Below are 19,230 nucleotides of genomic sequence, written 5' to 3' on the forward strand. Positions count from 1 at the left end.
TCTGGTCAAGATGGGCAGTGAGTTCATGCTTGATAACTCCTGCCACTCCAAACAATATAGCAATGAAATGAAAAGTGAAAACGCACTCACAAAATACATAACAAGGTTCTAATATGAGATAAGCATCTGCATTGATCAGAAACAAAACAAAATATTAAAAAGTGATCCTCAATGTGTTCATGTCCTTTGCAGGGACATGGATGAAGCTGGAAACCATCATTCTCAGCAAACTATCACAAGGACAGAAAACCAAACACCACATGTTCTCACTCATAGGTGGGAATTGAACAATGAGAACACATGGACACAGGGCGGGGAACATCACACACCACAGCCTGTCAGCGGGGTGTGTATTGGGAGAGGGATAGCATTAGGAGAAATACCTAATGTAAATGATGAGTTGATGGGTGCAGCAAGCCAACATGGCACATGTATACCTATGTAAAAAAAACCGGCACTTTGTGCACATGTACCCTAGAACTTAAAGTATAACAATAAAAATGAAAAGATAAAATAATTTTAAAAAGTGAACCTGAATGGAGCTGTGAGCTTGCTGGGCTCTGGGCCCAGGTGGAGGGAATGGTAGCTAAGAGTTCAGATCCTGGGGAGAAAGGAACTTAAAATACTTCACAGGAAACAAGGAACTTGAGTCAGGAGTTTTTACCAACTTACTCCTCTCTTAGGTTGCAAAAGGAAGCTAGAAAATATTACTGACAATTGCTGTCTAAGGGTACACGTCTTTGTAAGCTTCAGCCTACAGATGTGGGAGTCCAGAGACCCGATCTCAGACCAGGGTCTGAGATCTGTGACAACCCACCATTCCCTGGTGGGGGAGAACTCTGAGTAACTATTAAAACACTTGGTTCTGGAAGAGGGACCAAGTAAGCTGGGAGGAGATGCAAGCCACTAGACAAGAAGGAGTAGGGGGAATGAAAAAGAGAAGGAGACAAAACATGAAAGAGATGGAAACTTTCACTGAAAATATTTTCTTCACAGAATACTTGCACATCTTTTGATAGGTTTATGTATAAGTGTCTTATTGCTTCTTTGGTACTGTGAATGAGATTTTTTTTTCTAATTATGTTTCTGATTGGTTATTGTTTTGTGTAGGAATGCGATTGTCTTTTTATGTTGTTTTGGTATCCAGCCAAAATGCTAAAACGTTTATTAGTTCTCATATTTTGTAGATTCTTTTGGATTTTTGGTGTAGACAGTCATAGCATCTACAAATAACAGCAGCTTATATGTTTCTTTCCAATCTTTTACTTCTTATTTCTTTTTCTTGTTTTATTGCATGGGCTATGGAACTGAAGATAGTTGCCCTTCTTATTCCTGTCTTTAATGGGAATATTTCTACAATATCACCATTAAGTATATTGTTTGCTGTCTGTAAATCTGTTAGGAGTATCCTTGGTCAGGTTAAGGAAACCTCCTCTAACAATCTGCTAAGAATTACCTGAGATGTATTTAAAATGCACATCTCTGAACACTATTTGATCAAAGAATCAGAATTTCTAGAGATGGTGACTAGAAGTCTAGAGTTTAAGAATTACTACATTACAGAAATTGTTTCTTAATGCTTTTTAATAATTTTCATTTTTAATAATTTAGAATAATTCTGCTGTCTTGACCTGCCTGAAGCACTTAACACTGCTTGGAATTCCCTCTTCTCTTGGTGTTTGCATCTGCAGCAAGCTGCGTCTTCCCCCACATTTCTACCTGTTTTTTGGAAGCTTCATGTGTCCAGTAAAGAGGAACCCTAAGAATTTGAGATAAATGTCTTATCTGATCTGTATTTGCCTGATTTGGGGATTATAGTCTTAACCCACTTTTCTCCATCATCCTCAATACTGCACTCCCAGGCTTTGTAATCTGAGGCTCTTCCTATCCCAGAGTCTGTATGAGCTGAGTTTGTTATTAGACATGGCCCAATCTCACCAATAAGACTAGAGTCACCTCCCTTGTGTATCTCTTCCTATGAGGCTCCCTCCATGTCCAAGTTTCATAGTATAACTAAACTGAAGCTAACCAGGCACTGACTCGACTACCAAATGGGTGGAGCTATTGCTGTCAGGGATATACTACAATTTCTAAGTTTAGTATTTATTATTTTATATTTAGAGTTATCACTTTTGATATGAAAAATTAGATGCATATCACTTTCAGATATAACACATCTCCAACTCTCCCCAGTTATCTCTCCTATAAAAGACTTACCTATTAGCAACTAACACCAACAGACCCCCAGTCATGCCCCTTCATCCTCACTCAACTAGTTATATCAGCTATTTCAGGTATTGGATTTCCTTTTTATAAAAGGAAAATGGCAGCCCAGCTGTATCATGAGATTTCTACAGAAATGATGGTTATCCCACATGTATTTAATTTGTGGTTCGTTTTGGGGAGAAGCCACTCTCACAATCAGAAGACAGCCCCAGCTTTTGTACACCCAAGGGAATTGAACTGACTTTGCTGATATGAATTCCGGTTACAGAACAGTATCACTTCATCTCATCAACAGAATTCAAGTACTATTTCAGAAACAAGAGAGAGCTATTCTATAGATTTCCTTCCTAAATCCTAAGTCCCTTATTTCTTTCTAAGTCATGAGTCTTAAATCATAAATCCAACTGTAGTACTTCACAGTCAGTTTCAACTCTATAAACCTTATATTAATTCTGCCTAAGAGCACATGAATGCTAATATTTTCAATTGTATAAACTTTTTGTTATTGATGTTATAAATCTGAGTTTTAAAAGTAGCTAACTTTATAACTTTTAGAAATTTTCATCATACTTTGAGACCTCAGTCTCTTCATCTTTCAAGTAAAAGGGTTGGGCTGGATCTCTAAGTGTCCTTCTGGCCCTAACATCCTATGGGTCTGGGTGCCAAGGCTTTAAACAATGTCCAGTGAGAAAATAAAGAGGATGCAAACTCTGACCCTGGGCTGTGAATGAGTATGCTACTCCCAGATTTACCCAGAAGGATGTTCTGTGCCCTAAAGAGTGGCCAAGTGAGTTTATGGTCTGGTTATCTTGGCTATTTGCTCTTTTCTAGAATTGCAATATGTGAATAAATTTAAAACACTTTAGTTTTCCAACTAGTAAATATAGGTTGAATTGGAAAATGGAAATTTTGAAGTATTCTTATTTGCAAAACACAATACTACAACTCAGTTCTTCATTTATATTGCATGGATCAAAAATAAAATGAAATGACAAAAATTATTGGTGGAAATATTCTTTAAATTAGTTGAAATGATTTGGGTATCTAAAAAAAAATTAATTCTAGGTTTAATTTTTTTTTTCATTTAGGTCTGTCTTCAGACTAGGATTTCAAAATTAACTGGGGTTTTTAGAGACCTAAATATTTCAACTAAAATATCAACTACTGCCTTTGACAAAATTCAACAACCCTTCATGCTAAAAACTCTCAATAAATTAGGTATTGATGGGACATATCTCAAAATAATAAGAGCTATCTATGACAAACCCACAGCCAATATCATACTGAATGGGCAAAAACTGGAAGCATTCCCTTTGAAAACTGGCACAAGACAGGGATGCCCTCTCTCACCACTCCTATTCAACATAGTGTTGGAAGTTCTGGCCAGGGCAATGAGGCAGGAGAAGGAAATAAAGGGTATTTAATTAGGAAAAGAGGAAGTCAAATTGTCCTTGTTTGCAGATGACATGATTGTATATCTAGAAAACCCCATTATCTCAGCCCAAAATCTCCTTAAGCTGATAAGCAACTTCAGCAAAGTCTCAGGATACAAAATCAATGTACAAAAATCACAAGCATTCTTATACACCAATAACAGACAAACAGAGAGCCAAATCATGAGTGAACTCCCATTCACAATTGCTTCAAAGAGAATAAAATACCTAGGAATCCAACTTACAAGGGACATGAAGGTCCTCTTCAAGGAGAACTACAAACCACTGCTCAAGGAAATAAAAGAGGATACAAACAAATGGAAGAACATTCCATGCTCGTGGGTAGGAAGAATCAATATTGTGAAAATGGCCATACTGCCCAAGGTAATTTATAGATTCAATGCCATCCCCATCAAGCTACCAATGACTTTCTTCACAGAATTGGAAAAAACTACTTTCAAGTTCATATGGAACCAAAAAAGAGCCCGCATCACCAAGTCAATCCTAAGCCAAAAGAACAAAGCTGGAGGCATCACACTACCTGACTTCAAACTATACTACAAAGCTACAGTAACCAAAACAGCATGGTACTGGTACCAAAACAGAGATATAGATCAATGGAACAGAACAGAGCCCTCAGAAATAACGCCACATATCTAAAACTATCTGATCTTTGACAAACCTGAGAAAAACAAGCAATGGGGAAAGGATTCCCTATTTAATAAATGGTGCTGGGAAAACTGGCTAGCCATATGTAGAAAGCTGAAACTGGATCCCTTCCTTACACCTTATACAAAAATCAATTCAAGATGGATTAAAGACTTAAACGTTAGACCTAAAACCATAAAAACCCTAGAAGAAAACCTAGGCATTACAATTCAGGACATACGCATGGGCAAGGACTTCATGTCTAAAACACCAAAAGCAATGGCAAAAAAAGCCAAAGTTGACAAATGGGATCTAATTAAACTAAAGAGCTTCTGCACAGCAAAAGAAACTACCATCAGAGTGAACAGGCAACCTACAAAATGGGAGAACATTTTCGCAAACTACTCATCTGACAAAGGGCTAATATCCAGAATCACAATGAACTCCAACAAATTTACAAGAAAAAAACAAACAACCCCATCAAAAAGTGGGCAAAGGACATGAACAGACACTTCTCAAAAGAAGACATTTATGCAGCCAAAAAACACATGAAAAAATGCTCACCATCACTGGCCATCAGAGAAATGCAAATCAAAACCACAATGAGATACCATCTCACACCAATTAGAATGGTAATCATTAAAAAGTCAGGAAACAACAGGTGCTGGAGAGGATGTGGAGAAATAGGAACACTTTTACACTGTTGGTGGGACTGTAAACTAGTTCAACCATTGTGGAAGTCAGTGTGGCGATTCCTCAGGGATCTAGAACTAGAAATACCATTTGACCCAGCCATCCCATTACTGGGTATATACCCAAAGGATTATAAATCATACTGCTATAAAGACACATGCACACGTATGTTTATTGCGGCATTATTCACAATAGCAAAGACTTGGAACCAACCCAAATGTCCAACAATGATAGACTGGATTAAGAAAATGTGGCACATATACACCATGGAATACTATGCAGCCATAAAAAATGATGAGTTCATGTCCTTTGTAGGGACATGGATGAAATTGGAAATCATCATTCTCAGTGAACTATCGCAAGAACAAAAAACCAAACACCGCATATTCTCACTCATAGGTGGGAGTTGAACAGTGATAACACATGGACACAGGAAGGGGAACATCACACTCTGGGGACTGTTGTGGGGTGGGGGGAGGGGGGAGGGATAGCATTGGGAGATATACCTAATGCTAGATGACGAGTTAGTGGGTGCAGCACACCAGCATGGCACATGTATACATATGTAACTAACCTGCACATTGTGCACATGTACCCTAAAACTTAAAGTATAATAATAATAATAATAATAATAATAATAAAATCAACCACTGAAACTGTCTCACAATGAAAGAAATATGTGAAAATTAATACATTTATTTAGTTAAATGAATAAATTTATTTAGTTAAATTACTCTCATTCTTTAGTTATAGGAACAGACACCAATGGTGTGATTACTCCTTAAAGCCTAGGCTAATAAAATATATGTGTTCATGTGTTTGTATATGCTTATACAGACATGTGTATGTACCTTCCCCCTGAACACCATCCCTACCAACAAATACACATACACATCACTTTACTGAATGTCCACAGTAACATTCTGGGAGACTTTGAAAAAGTAAGAGTCTATTCGTAAATTACTCTAAATTTTACGTACTCTTTTTGTCTTCATAATTTCCCAATTCAAATCACAAAAATAATTTTGGAACATTCGCAACAACTTATGTTGTAAGCTATAATCTTACAAGGAATTTATATTTCAAATGTTTCATATTTTATCCCATAGGTAACAGAAATTAATTTTCAACTTACAATAAACTGAACTTATCTTTAAGGCAATGTCTGAAAGTCAGAAAAAAATTTAACCTTTAAAATCCATTACTTATTAACATTAATTTCACTAAAGTTGGTATACAACCCCCCGCCACTGCTGAATTTGACTGGCTATAAAAATAAAATAAAATCCATTAAAACCTCTAGTTTTTGTTTTCCCCTTTTAAAATTTACTTTAAAAATATACCCTAGACTATACCCAAAGACAAGAATATACCCTAAGGACAAAAAGAACAGCTGTGTTAGTCTGCTGGGGCTGCCATAACAAAATAGTTTTTTGGTTTTGTTTGTTTGTTTGTTTGTTTGTTTGTTTGTTTTTTGAAACAGACTCTCACTCTGTTGCCCAGGCTGGAGTGCAGTGGTGTGATATCGGCTCGCTGCAACCTCCACCTCTCAGGTTCAGGCAATTCTCCTGCCTCAGCCTCCCAAGCAGCTGGTATTACAGGCACGCACCACAACAGTCGGCTAAATTTTTGTATTTTTAGTAAAGATGGGGTTTCGCCATGTTGGCCAGGCTGGTCTTAAACTTCTGACCTCAAGTGATCTGCCCGCCTCGGCCAGGATTAAGTCCAGCAGAGTTCCCTTTCTGGTGAAGGCTCTCTTTCTTTTTATTTTTTTCTTTTTCTTTTTCTTTTTTTTTTTTTTTTTTTCCTTTTTTGAGACGGAGTCTTGCTCTGTCACCCAGGCTGGAGTGCAGTGGCGCGATCTCGGCTCACTGCAACCTCCGCCTCCCGGGTTCAAGCGATTCTCCTGCCTCAGCCTCCCGAGTAGCTGGGACTACAGGCGCCTGCCACCACACCCGGCTAATTTTTGTATTTTTAGTAGAGACGGGGTTTCACCATGTTGGTCAGGATTGTCGCGGTCTCTTGACCTTGTGATCCGCCCGCCTGGGCTCCAAAGTACTGGGATTACAGGAGTAAGCCACCGCACCTCGCCAAGGCTCTCTTTCTGGCTTGCAAATAGCCTCCCTCTTGCTGTGTCCTCACATGGCAGAGGCAAAGAGAGAAAGCTGTCTGGTATCTCTTCTTACCAGGGAGCTAATGCCATCATGACCACCCCCCACACAACCTCTTTCCCAGCCAACTCCTACCATGACCTCATCTAACACTAGAACCCATCTCCAAATACCATCTCATTGCATATTAGGGCTTCAACATATAAATTTGGGAGGGGACACAATGCACTTTGCATTCAATGTGTAGAAAAAGCTTAAATGTTTTTAATAATCACATTGTTGATAGAAGTGTTAGCATATTTGGAGACTGTTGTGGGATAAAGCAAATGAATAATTTTGTTGCTATCATTGAGAACCAGTATTTTCTGCATGGAGGAAAGGAGATGCAAATGTAACATCAAAACATTTGAGTAAAAACCTTACAGTCCTGAATTTGAATTGGGAGTATCAGAATAAACTAATAATATATTTTTAAAAAATATTTTCTAACTTTAAAAGGGTCTAAAAACAATGACTAAAAAAGCCAGTAGCAATGAGCACTTCTAGTACCTAGATTGTGGTCTTTAAAGCCATTTCTTTTAAAGCCAAAATAAACCAGGGCTCTGAGGAAAAATGGCTGATTCTAAGTCTTGGCCAGAACTTTTGCAAGCTACGCCTAGGACATCTTATTTTACCAGAAACCTATCAAAGATAACTGGGGTCATGTCAAGAAAACTCAAGAGCCAACTTGAAGAGGTTGCTACAGGCCAAATACAGGAAAATCCAAGCATTAATAAGAGCACGATTATTTAAACATTTTAAAAATATGTTTAAATCATGAACACATAATGTTACATCAAAAAAAAAAAAAACCTCATTGGTCATCTTTGGAGCATGCTGAGAAACCAACTCATTATTTGGAAATTGGCAAATAAGAAAAAGAATCAAGATCAATCCTGAAAAGTAAGTAGTTGATGAGACAAACCTTTTTTTTTTTTTTTTTTTTTTGAGACGGAGTCTTGCTCAGTTGCCCAGGCTGGAGTGCAATGGCATGATCTCCACTCACTGCAAGCTCCACCTCCCAGGTTCATGCCATTCTCCTGCCTCAGCCTCCTGAGTAGCCAGGACTACAGTCGCCCGCCACCACACCCAGCTAATTTTTTTTGTATTTTTTAGTAGAGACAGGGTTTCACCGTGTTAGACAGGATGATCTCGATCTCCTGACCTTGTGATCCGCCCCTCAGCCTCCCAAAGCACTGGGATTACAGGCAAGAGCCACCGTGCCCAGCCGAGAGAACCCTTTTAAAAATAAACGTGTGTTAGCTAATAAATGAGGAAGGAATGATAGAATTTGAATATCAGTGTTTTGTAGCCTCCAGTGACAGAATGGATTTAGTTCTGCACAATTCAATATGGCAGCCCCTAGCCACATGTGACTATTGAACACTTGAGATGTAGCAAGATTGAGTTGATATGTGCTGTAAGTGTCAAATGCACATTGAATTTCAAAGACTTCGTGTATAAAAATGAAAAATATCTCAATAATGTTTATATTGATTATATGTTGAAATGATAGTATGTGAAATATATTGGGTTAAAAACAACTTTTTATTAATTTAGCTAATTTAATTTAGTTTTTAAAACAATTACATTTAGGAAGAATAAATTTCAAGAGATCTATTATGCATCAAGGTGACTATAATTAATGACAATATATTGTATTCTTGAAAAATGTAAAGAGAATGGATGCTATCTGTTCTCACCACAAAAATGGTGACTGTGTGGGGTAATGCATTTATTAATTAGCTAGATTTAAACACTCCACAAGGTACATAAACTTCAAAATATGTTATACACTTAAAAAACATAAAATACTGTCAATTTTTAAAAATTAAAGACATACATAAATGTTTAAAATTAATTTTACCTGTTTTTCTTTTTTTTACTTTCTAAAAACCTGGTGTTAAGGAAAATTCAAAATTGAGGCCACCGTTTGGATAGACTGCTAGGCCAACTGCCTGTAGCCACATCACTGAAACTTAAGCTATCATGATTTTCCTCAAATATTAGCTCTAACCACGAACACAACTTAGGTTTTTCTTTCTGAATTCTGAACCAATCAGCTACAGATAAATAAGCTAATACAGACTTACTTGTCCTAAAAGGAATGTAAGTTTTAATAGCCAATCACAACAAAGATCAATGTACTTCCTCATTTAGGCTTTTGAAGCTGCACTGTGACCGCTGTGAGCCAAACTGCTTGCCACTTTCGGCGTCAACTCTGCTGCTTATCAAACCAGGAGACTTTTGGGGATTTTTCATGCACAATAAACTCTTAAAATTTTAACTCGATTTGCTTTTATTTTTGGTAATGGCTACCAGAAAATTTTAAATGACATATGTGGCTTGCATTATATTTTTGTTGGACAGCACAGATCTAAGCACTAAGCACTAATAGCTACTAACAATACAAAATGAGAGCTAACCAAATAGCATATGCCTCCTGTTAGAAGTACAAACACCATCTCTGAAATATTCTTACCAAAAAAATGGACCCTGAATCTGATCAAGATTTTATGTCTTGCTACCAAATTGCAGTAAATATAGACAGCAGAGAAACAAAGTAAATGACACCATAGGCATACAACCAGCAAAATCCAGAAAATAGGAAAGTCTACAAACAAATGATCCTGTTTGTTCAACAGATAAGTTGCAAAGGGGGAACAAAAAGCGGAAGAGGAAACCGGAAAATGAAAAGAGATTTTAAAACATACCAACTGGTTACAAAGTATGGACCTTATTTGGATCTTGGTTCAAACAAACTATACAAAGAAATAAATTAGGATGCAATAAAATCAATTTGAACACTAACTGGATAGCTGGTGATATAAAGGAATTATTAATAATTTAGGTAGTGGTATTATAGTTATTTTTTAAAATTGCTTATCTTTAAAAATACATATGGAAATATTTAAAAATAAAATGTTAAAATTTCTGGGATTTGCTTCAAAACAATTTAGAAGATGGAGAGACAAGAGTGGGGATATCAACACCTGTGAAAAGAAGGGGAATAGAAGATAAAAGAAATAATTAATTTTTTTTTAAAGTAGAGGCTTAGTCAGCCCTTCCTGTCTGTGGGTTTCACATCCATGGATTCAACCAACTACAAGTCAAAAATCCTTGGGGGAAAAAATTGCATCTTTACTTAACATGTACAAACTTTTTTTCTTGTCACTATTTCCTAAACAATGAAGTATAACAACTACTTACATAGCATTTACTTTGTGTTAGGTATTACAAGTAATCTAGAGGTGATTTAAACTATATGGGAGGATGTGCATAGATTATGTATAAATACTATGCCACTTTGTATCAGGGAATTGAGCATTCAAAAATTTTGCTGTCAGTAGGAGGTCCTAGAACCAATCCCCCATGGATAAGGAGGGATAACTGTGTTATGAAATGAGATTAGCTGTAAGCCAATTACTGGTAAAACATGGTGATGAGTACGTGATGTTCATCATATCATTCTCTCCACTTTTGTATATGTTTAAAATGTTCTATAATAAATGTAGTGTGGTGGGTCCCCCACCGGGTATATGTCCACTGCCTGAACCCTGAAGGCTGGGCAGTGAGCCAAGGTTATGGTGCCCAACCAAAGAGCAGGTGTCCCTGAGAAGCCCAACATCATGGAGAGTATCTGAGAACCCTCCGAGGAAAACAGTCCCATTGCTCAAACACAGTAGGCAAAGAGCCTGAAAACTAGCTTAACAGCAGTTTACAGACAGGAGGGAGGGGCGGGGACAATGCAGATCTCTAGCACTGTCCTGCTGCTGCCCAGTGTCTTATCCAAGGCATTCTTTGGTCTCTCACACCTTCCCAGTTTGGGAGTTGAGGGAAGGATGTTATGGTCCCAAGTTTTTCTCATAACAAAAGAAAGGTAAAAACAAGTTTAAAAGTCGTAGAAATCGTTATTAAAAGGAGAAAATTAGAAAAATCAATAATCTCACCATTCTAAGAACAGGGTTACAGAGTTAATAATTTGTTGTATTCCCTTCTGGTATTTTTTCCTACATATTTTTATAGATATAATATTATATTTCCTACAAATTATATCCATTTGCATATAAATATATATTTACAGTGTATGTGTGTGTATACACACACATACAGAAATATACATACATGCCATTTTCCATCCTGTTTTGTTGGCTTAACATTTTATTCATTCAGCAAATGAATATATTTAGAAACAAATATTTATTGAATAAATGAGTTATATTTTCATGCTGCTTCATAACCTTTACATCTATCATCTTTAACAGCTGCATAATGCTTCATTAAGAGGATGACATCATTTACTCAAGCAAGTGCCTTCTCAGTTTAGTAGTAGTAGTTGAAAGCTCAGGCATGAAGCCAGAACTGAATTCAGATCCCAACTATGTAACTTACTAGCTACGTGACCTTGTGCAAGATACTTAAACTCACTAGACATTAGTTTCCTGCTTTCTAAAATTGGTATGGGAATAGTATTTAACTCAAAAGTTTCCTGTAAGGAAAAAAGGAGCTAATATATGTATAGCACTTAGCCTGGAGTCTAATAAATAGCAAACACTCAACCTGTTATTGAAAAAATTGGTTTTTTTCTCTCTTATTAGTAATATCAAAGTAACCATTTACATACATATCATTTCTTCTATGTTTTGGATGGTTGTATTAGGCTGGAATCCTAGAAAAGGAATTACTAGAGCTAAGTAAATAAGCTCTTCTATGGCTCATGTCATATTTGTGCCATTGCATTTGTTAAATTGCTTTCCCAAAGAATTGTACCAATCTTCAATGCCATGTGTTTCACTATCCCTGCCAACATTAAATATCATTTAATTTTTTTTCTTTTTCTTTTTTTTTTTTTTCTTTTTAGAGATTGGATTTCACTCTGTCACCTAGGCTGTACTACAGTGGTGTGATCATAGCATACTGCAACCTCAAACTTCTGGCCTCAAGTGATCTTCCGACCTCAGCCCCCCAGAGTGCTGGGATTACAGATGTAAGCCATCACACCCAGTGTTAATATTAATTTAATAGAAGTCTCCCATCTTTTAGGACTGTGCTCTTTTTATACTAAAAAAATTATTGCAATAAAAATTACATATGTAAATAACATAAAATTTGCCATTTTAAGCATTTTAAGTGTACAATTCAGTGGCATTAATTACAGTCACAATGTTGTGCAACCGTCACTACTATTTCCAAAATTTTTCATCACCCCAAAAACAAACTCTGTTACCATTAAACAATAACCCCGCATTCCCATCCTCTAGCCCTTGGTAACCTTGAATCTGCTTTCTGCAGGTTTAGAAAAATGTTTATTTTACATTTTTAAAATATCTAATGTTGGCAGGGATAGTGAAACACATGGCATTGAAGAGTGCTACAATTCTTTGGGAAAACAATTTAGCAAGTGCAATGGCACAAATATGACATGAGCCATAGAAAAGTTCATTTACTTTGATCTAGTAATTCCTTTTCTAGGATCCCAGCCTAAGACAACAATCCAAAACATTCACCATAGGGGAAATGATATGTATGTAAATGTTTACCTTGAAGGGAGAAAAAAGAATACAATTTTTTCAATATGGTCATATCCATAAGAACACTTACTTTGCGTATAGTCAATATCACTATACATATATTTTTTTCACTTTCCTTTTGCCCTGGACGATAGGGTACATCAAGATGTCTAACTATGAGGCGAAAACCAGGAAGAGGAACAAGTTTAGGAGGAAGCTTACAAGTTGAGATTGAGACAGATTGAGTTTAAGGTGCTTGTGGAATTTCCAGATGGAGACGTCCAGGGGACACTTGGATATATTGTTCTAGAGCTCAAGAGAGAGATATGAGCTAAAGACATAAATTGTGAAGTTATCATTGGTAGCAGTGGAAGTCATAAGTGTAGATGAGATTGCCCAGGAAATACATTTAGATTGAAGAGAAGCAAACAATAGAACAAACCTTATATTCACAGCAAACACTTTTAAAGGTTTACAGAACTTCAGACTACAAAAACTTGTCTTCAAAACTGAAGAGAGGGAGACTAAACTCATAACCTTGGTTACTTTAGGGCAGGGAGTTAGGGGAGAGAGAATAAGGTTGAGGAGACTTTAGCCTTTTCAGCAGCATTCATTATTTTTTTAAGAAAAACATATTTATGTTACTTAAGAAATAAAAAATAAAAAGTTAAAATTAGACAAGTGGATTATAAAACCCAAGGAGTGAGCACATGGAGTCTTGTATACAAAGCAATCAGCTTGTTTGATGTGGCCCCAGAAAAGGGATTCCAGTGACTGTGCAAAGAGATATAGCAGGCCTGGCATAGTGGCTCACATCTGTAAATCCCAGCACTTTGGGAGGCCGAGGCAGGCAGATCACTTGAGGCCAGGAGTTCGAGACCAGCCTGGCCAACATGGTGAAACCCCATCCCTACTAAAAATACAAAAATTAGCCAGGCAGGGTGGCAGGTGCCTGTAATCCCAGCTACTCAGGAGGCTGAGGCAGGAAATTGCTTGAACCTGGGAGGCAGGTTGCAATGAGCAGAGATCCAGCCACTGCACTCCAGCCTGGGCAACAGAGCAAGACTCAGTCTTAAAAAAAAAAAAAAAAAAAGAGATAGCAGTCAGTGGAATACAATGTGTGAAAAATTAATGTGACTCTCAGACTGAAGGAGACAAACCCAAAGACCCAAAGATTTTAGATGTTTCCATTGAAATCTGTTCCAGAACTCGAGGCAAAATCCTGTATTCTGGTGATGGGGAAAGTCAACTCTGATGCCCAAATGTGGAAGTAACCGGCAACTCTGGTCAGGCACAACATTATTTTTTCAGTTTAGGGCCAGGGCCAGAAATTCTTCTGCATGCTAGTCATAGGATTGTTTTATTGATGTCAAAGATGAACTAAGAATTACAGCGTCCACTTATTCAGTGCCAGTTCTATGGCAGAGATTCTGCCAAGGCTTTCATTCAAATCTCACAACAATCATTTGATGTGAGTATTGTTTATCCTTCATAGAAAGACTCAGAGGATTGAATTACTCACTCAAGACCACATAGCCCATAAATGACAGGGTCAAGATTTACACCCAAGTTGTATTAATTCCAGGACACTTACTTTTATACATGATGTTAATATTGTATCTCTACAGCATCTCTATTAGAATCCACATATGTACTAAAATTGAACCTGACTCAAAGGTGAGTCAAGAACATTCATAACTACTTACTCTTTGTCAATCATCTTTTATAATGCATCATTTTGGGTTCTACTTTGATGCCTTGCTGCTTGGCCTGGTCCTCAAACCAGCAGCATGGGCATCACCTGGGAGCTTGTTAAACATGCACAACCTGAGGCCCTGTGAATCAGTCAAAACCCATGCTTTAACAAGAAATCCAGGTGATTCTTATGCAAATTAAAGTTAGGGAAAAACAGCCTTAGTAAATTAAAACATGAAGGGTTCAAAATATTATAATTGATTATACAAGGAGTCTTCCAAAAGTTCATGGAAAATGCAATTTATGAAAAAAGCCTGCATGAATTTCAAATTTTTGCATCAAAATAAACTTGCACAAACTTGTTATAATGTGTCTGAACAGGATCTATTTGGAGGTACTAAGAAAAATAAGACATCAGTCTGAAAAGAGCTCCTATCAAAACACCATAAATTCTGCTAAAAGGCAAGCAAGGAGAAACATCAAATTTATGGTGAAGCTTGGGGGGAAGAATGATGAAATCATTGATACTCTATGAAAAGTTTATAGGGACAATGGCCCCAAAGAAATCAGCAGTTTACAAATGGATAACTCTTTTTAGGAAGGGACTAGAAAACTGTTGAAAATGAAGCCTGAAGCAGCAGACCATCCATGTTAATTTTCAAGGAAAAAATTAATCTTGCTCATTCCCTAAATAAAAAGGACTGATAATTGACAGCAAAGACAATAGCCAACACCATAGCCAACTCAATGGTTCGACTTACACAATTCTGACTGAAAAGTTAAAGTTGAGCATTTCCACTCAAAGGTACAAAAATTTATGTGTCCAGATCAGCTGCAGACAAGAGCAGAGCTTTCAGTGGAAATTTCAAACAAGTAGAATTGAGATCCTAAAGCATTTCTTCAAAGAGTTGCAACAGAAGGTGAAACATGGCTTTACCAGTACCATCCTGAAGACAAAGCACAATCAAAGCAATGGCTACCAAGAGGGGCAAGTGGTCCAGTCAAAGTAAAAGCAGACTGGTCAAGAGCAAAGGTCATGGCAACAGTTTTTTGGAATGCTCAAGGTATTTTTCTTGTTGACTTTCTGGAAGGCCAAAGAATGACATCTGCTTATTATGAGAGTGTTTTGAGAAAGTTAGCCAATGCTTTGGCAGAAAAATGCCCAGGAAAGATTCACTAGAAAGTCCTTCTCCACCACGACAATGCTCCTGCTCATTTCTCTCATCAAACAAAGGCAATCTTAAGTTCCTATGGGAAATCATTAGGCATCCACCTTACCATCCTGCTTCGGTTCCTTCTGACTTGCTTTTGTTTCCTAATCTTAAAAAATATTTCAAGGGCACTCATTTTTCTTCAGTTAATAATGTGAAAAAGATTACATTAGCATGGTTAAATTCCCTGGAGCCTCAGTTCTTTGGGGATAGACAAAATGGCTGGTATCATGTCTTACAAAAGTATCTTAATCTTGAATGAGTTTATGTTTTAAAAAAAAAGTATATTTTTTAAATTTTTATCTTTTATTTCCATTTTTCATAAAATGTTTGAAATTCCCTCATGTACAATTTAAAATCCAATTCGTAATTGATCTAAGCCTCTCAGCATAACATCATATGCTACTATTCTTTCCGTTAAGGAGTATCATATTTATTAATTGAATAAAATAAAGTTTGTTTAAAACCCTTAGGTAGACTTCATTTGGTCCATGGGTTGCAGATTGGATAGTCAGGTTTCTGGCATCCTATTTGAACCTCCAAGGAATTCAGTCTTCTAATTAAGACTTAGAAGATGGGCCAGGCATGGTGGGTCATGCCTGTAATCCCAGCACTTTGAGATGCCAAGGCAGAAGTATCGCTTAAGGCCAAGAGCTTGAGACCAGGCTAGGAAACATAGTGAGACCCCATTTCTAAAAATATTTAAAAATTAGCCAAGTGTGGTGGCACATGCTTGTAGTCCTACCTACCCAGGAGGCTGAGATGGGAGGATCGCTTGAGCCTAGGAGGTCGAGGCTACAGTGAATTATGATCACACTACTACACTCCAGCCTCAGTGACAAAGAGAAACCCCGTCTCTAAGAGAAAAAAAAAAGGACTTAGAAGGTGGAACCTTCCCAACTTAGCTCCCAAGTCTTCCTAATTCTATGATACTCAACTCTCCCAACCCACTTCAGAGGTGAACTTATCTGCTCTGTTTTAGAAGTTAGTAGTCCTCATCTGAATCTGTGTGCTCCTCAATATTTCCCAGATCCTTTGCCATAGGTTGGCCAAGCTTTGAAGTCTTGGCTTGTAGGATACAGGAGAAAATGATGTGTGTCACTTCTGGGCCTGGTCCTCAGCAAGTCCCACAATAGATGTCCCACCTGAACAGTTAGCAGAGCCATAAGGAAAAAGGAGCCTGCCTGGGTCCCTGAGACACCACCTGGAGTGAAGCTGCCCAATAGAATAAGACACATCCCATTAACAAAAATTTTGTGTGATGAACCACTGAGATTTGAGGGTTGTTCATCTCAGTGGCTAGATAACTGTCCCTAACACATACTCCAGGCTGGAATTCAGCCCAGGAAGTCAAAAAGGTGAGACTTTCTGAGCATTTGAGACAAGAGTGAGTGAAAGTAATTGCTCGTATATTACTCAGGGTCACTCTGATGCACAGAATGGCGTTCTGCCAGAAAATAGCATTTAAAGTGTGTTGGTTTTTACACTATGTTTATAAACTAATTTAACAACTCGTGAATTAAAGTCCTGCATTATAACAGAAATGAAAATCATATCTGAAATTAGAGAATTGTTAATGTAATCCAACAGTTAATTATTTGCAAGGGTTGAGGGGGGTGTTAGTGATATATTCAGTATTTAGGTGTTTCTTGAACCAGTTAAAGATTCCTTTTTATATAAATGTATAAATGTTGGTTATAGCTTTCTCATTAGGATTAATGGTCCTAATTTATACACTTACTAGATTTGAGTAAGTACATATGATTGTACTAGTTTAGATATATTATCTCAAGTGGGACATAAAGTAAAAAAACTATTTCTTGAAGCAGCAAAGAGCACACATAAAAGATACTTTTGAGAGCTAGATACTGAACTAGATATTTTGAGAGCTAGATACTGAACTAGATATTACAAAAATCACAGAAATTACATATAAATTGATTTCTAAGAAAGGAAACAATAAATATTATGTGTTGTGTTATACAAAATTAGAGCATGTGTTTATGTCCACATTCACTGTGATTTTTAACACTGACATGTGTTGAAGAGAATCCATTAGTGTTTCAGTAAGAGTCCAAATATTGAGTAGAATGTCAGAATTGCTTAGCTGTTTGTGTAGGAATTTTAAAACAAAATCAGGTTTGTTATAATTTATTTGTTTTTTAATAAATCTGTAGACTTGCCCCTCTTGGGGAGGGCTTTGGATGAACAGTTAGGGCTTCATAGGGTTTTGGAGCCAGGAGTGACAACAAAAGCATTTTTAGAAGATAAATCTTTTACTGAGTGCAGGGTGGAAAACATGCGGAAGAAACTGGAGGTGTCAATAAGCCAGTTAGAGGGCTTTACAAAGATTCAGAAAGTGTGAGGACCTGGAGCAATAGCAGTGAAATTGGAGAAAGACAGGGGAAATAAATATATTGAAAAAGGAGGTATAGCTGGAGAAAAGGAAAAAAAGAGAAAATATATTGACATCTTACGCCTGGGTACCAGGGAGGACAGAGGCCTGTTGGGGTGTTAAGAGGAGCTGCTGGGGAAGAAGGAAGGTGACAATGACACTCCACGGTTGAAAAAGCCAGGACAGCAGAGAGGACATCGTTCTTGGAGGGAAAACTGTGTTTCCAAGGTGTAGAAGCTGAAATATGGTCAGTATGTCTGTAAAACAAAGAAACACGTAGGCCACCCTGAGAGGGGCTTCCTGGAGACCACCGTGGTATCCAGTAAAGAGCACAGCATGTGGGGTCAGGAGGATCTGCTTCTGAACCCAGGTTCTCCCCTCATGAGCTATGTGACCTTAGGAAATTGATCTAACCTTTCTGGGCTTCAGTTCCTTCCTCTGTAAAATGAAATCAACAATAGATTCGCTGTTCATTAAACAGAAGTAATTATTTCTTCTTGATTCTTTTTCTAATATAATTTTTTATTTTTTAATTTTAATCTATTTATTTATTTATTCTGAGACTGGTTTTTGAGACTGGCCAATTTTCGTATTTTTGGTAGAGATGGGTTTGCACTATGTTGCCAAGACTGGTCTTGAACTCCTGGGCTCAAGCAATTCTCCTGTCTCGGCCTCCCAAATTGCTGGAATTATAGGCATGAGCCACTGTGCCCAGCCACTGTTCTTGGTTCTTTAAGACTATTCCCCAAACATCTTCAAAATAGCCTTTCTTAGAATTGCAAGGGAAATCATTTTTAATCTCCTCTCCCTTGGCCCATCTGTATAACAAAGATAATATTGTTTACATCTGTGGTTCTCAAATGTTATCTGTGCATCAAAATCATTTGAAATATTTGTAAGATACAGATTCCTGTGCCCTAATTCAACAACTTCTGATTCAGTACTTCTGGGCGAGAAGCCAGGCATCAATATCTTTCTAGTTAAGAACCACTAATTCACATCAAAAAGCTGGAATGGAGATGAAATAAAATGAGCATGGCAAACCCACATAGCACAGTTCCTGGCACACAGTGCTTGTTTTATAAGTGGTACTGGTTGGGAGTGGTGGGGTTGGTGATGGGGTGGGCCATGGAAGTGGGCAGGGTGATGGTGGGTGATGGTGATGAAAGTTGGGTTATGTTAATGGAGGTGGTAAGTGATGATCGGGGGTGGTGGATGGTGGAGGCCAGGTTGTCGAAGATCCCTGACTCAGCCAGAAGATTGAAACTT

General features: G+C 37.5%; 1 long non-coding RNA gene across 2 annotated transcripts in view, besides 1 other annotated feature; it reads right to left on the minus strand.

The window, feature by feature from the left end:
• Nucleotides 1–19,230, minus strand: part of LOC107984390 (uncharacterized) — a 100,111-nt gene that overhangs the window by 18,079 nt on the left and 62,802 nt on the right. The gene's annotated exons all lie outside the window — the stretch shown is intronic.
• Nucleotides 9,113–9,381: a transcriptional cis regulatory region, noted in NCBI's record as "candidate enhancer chr11.5211 targeted for multiplex CRISPR interference". NCBI's record gives its function as "positively regulates C11orf71 gene expression in K562 cells {active_cell/tissue: K562}" and the evidence as "EXISTENCE:mutant phenotype evidence [ECO:0000015][PMID:30612741]".

Source organism: Homo sapiens, chromosome 11 (genome assembly GCF_000001405.40).
Source record: "Homo sapiens chromosome 11, GRCh38.p14 Primary Assembly".
NCBI classification, from domain to species: Eukaryota; Metazoa; Chordata; class Mammalia; order Primates; family Hominidae; genus Homo; species Homo sapiens.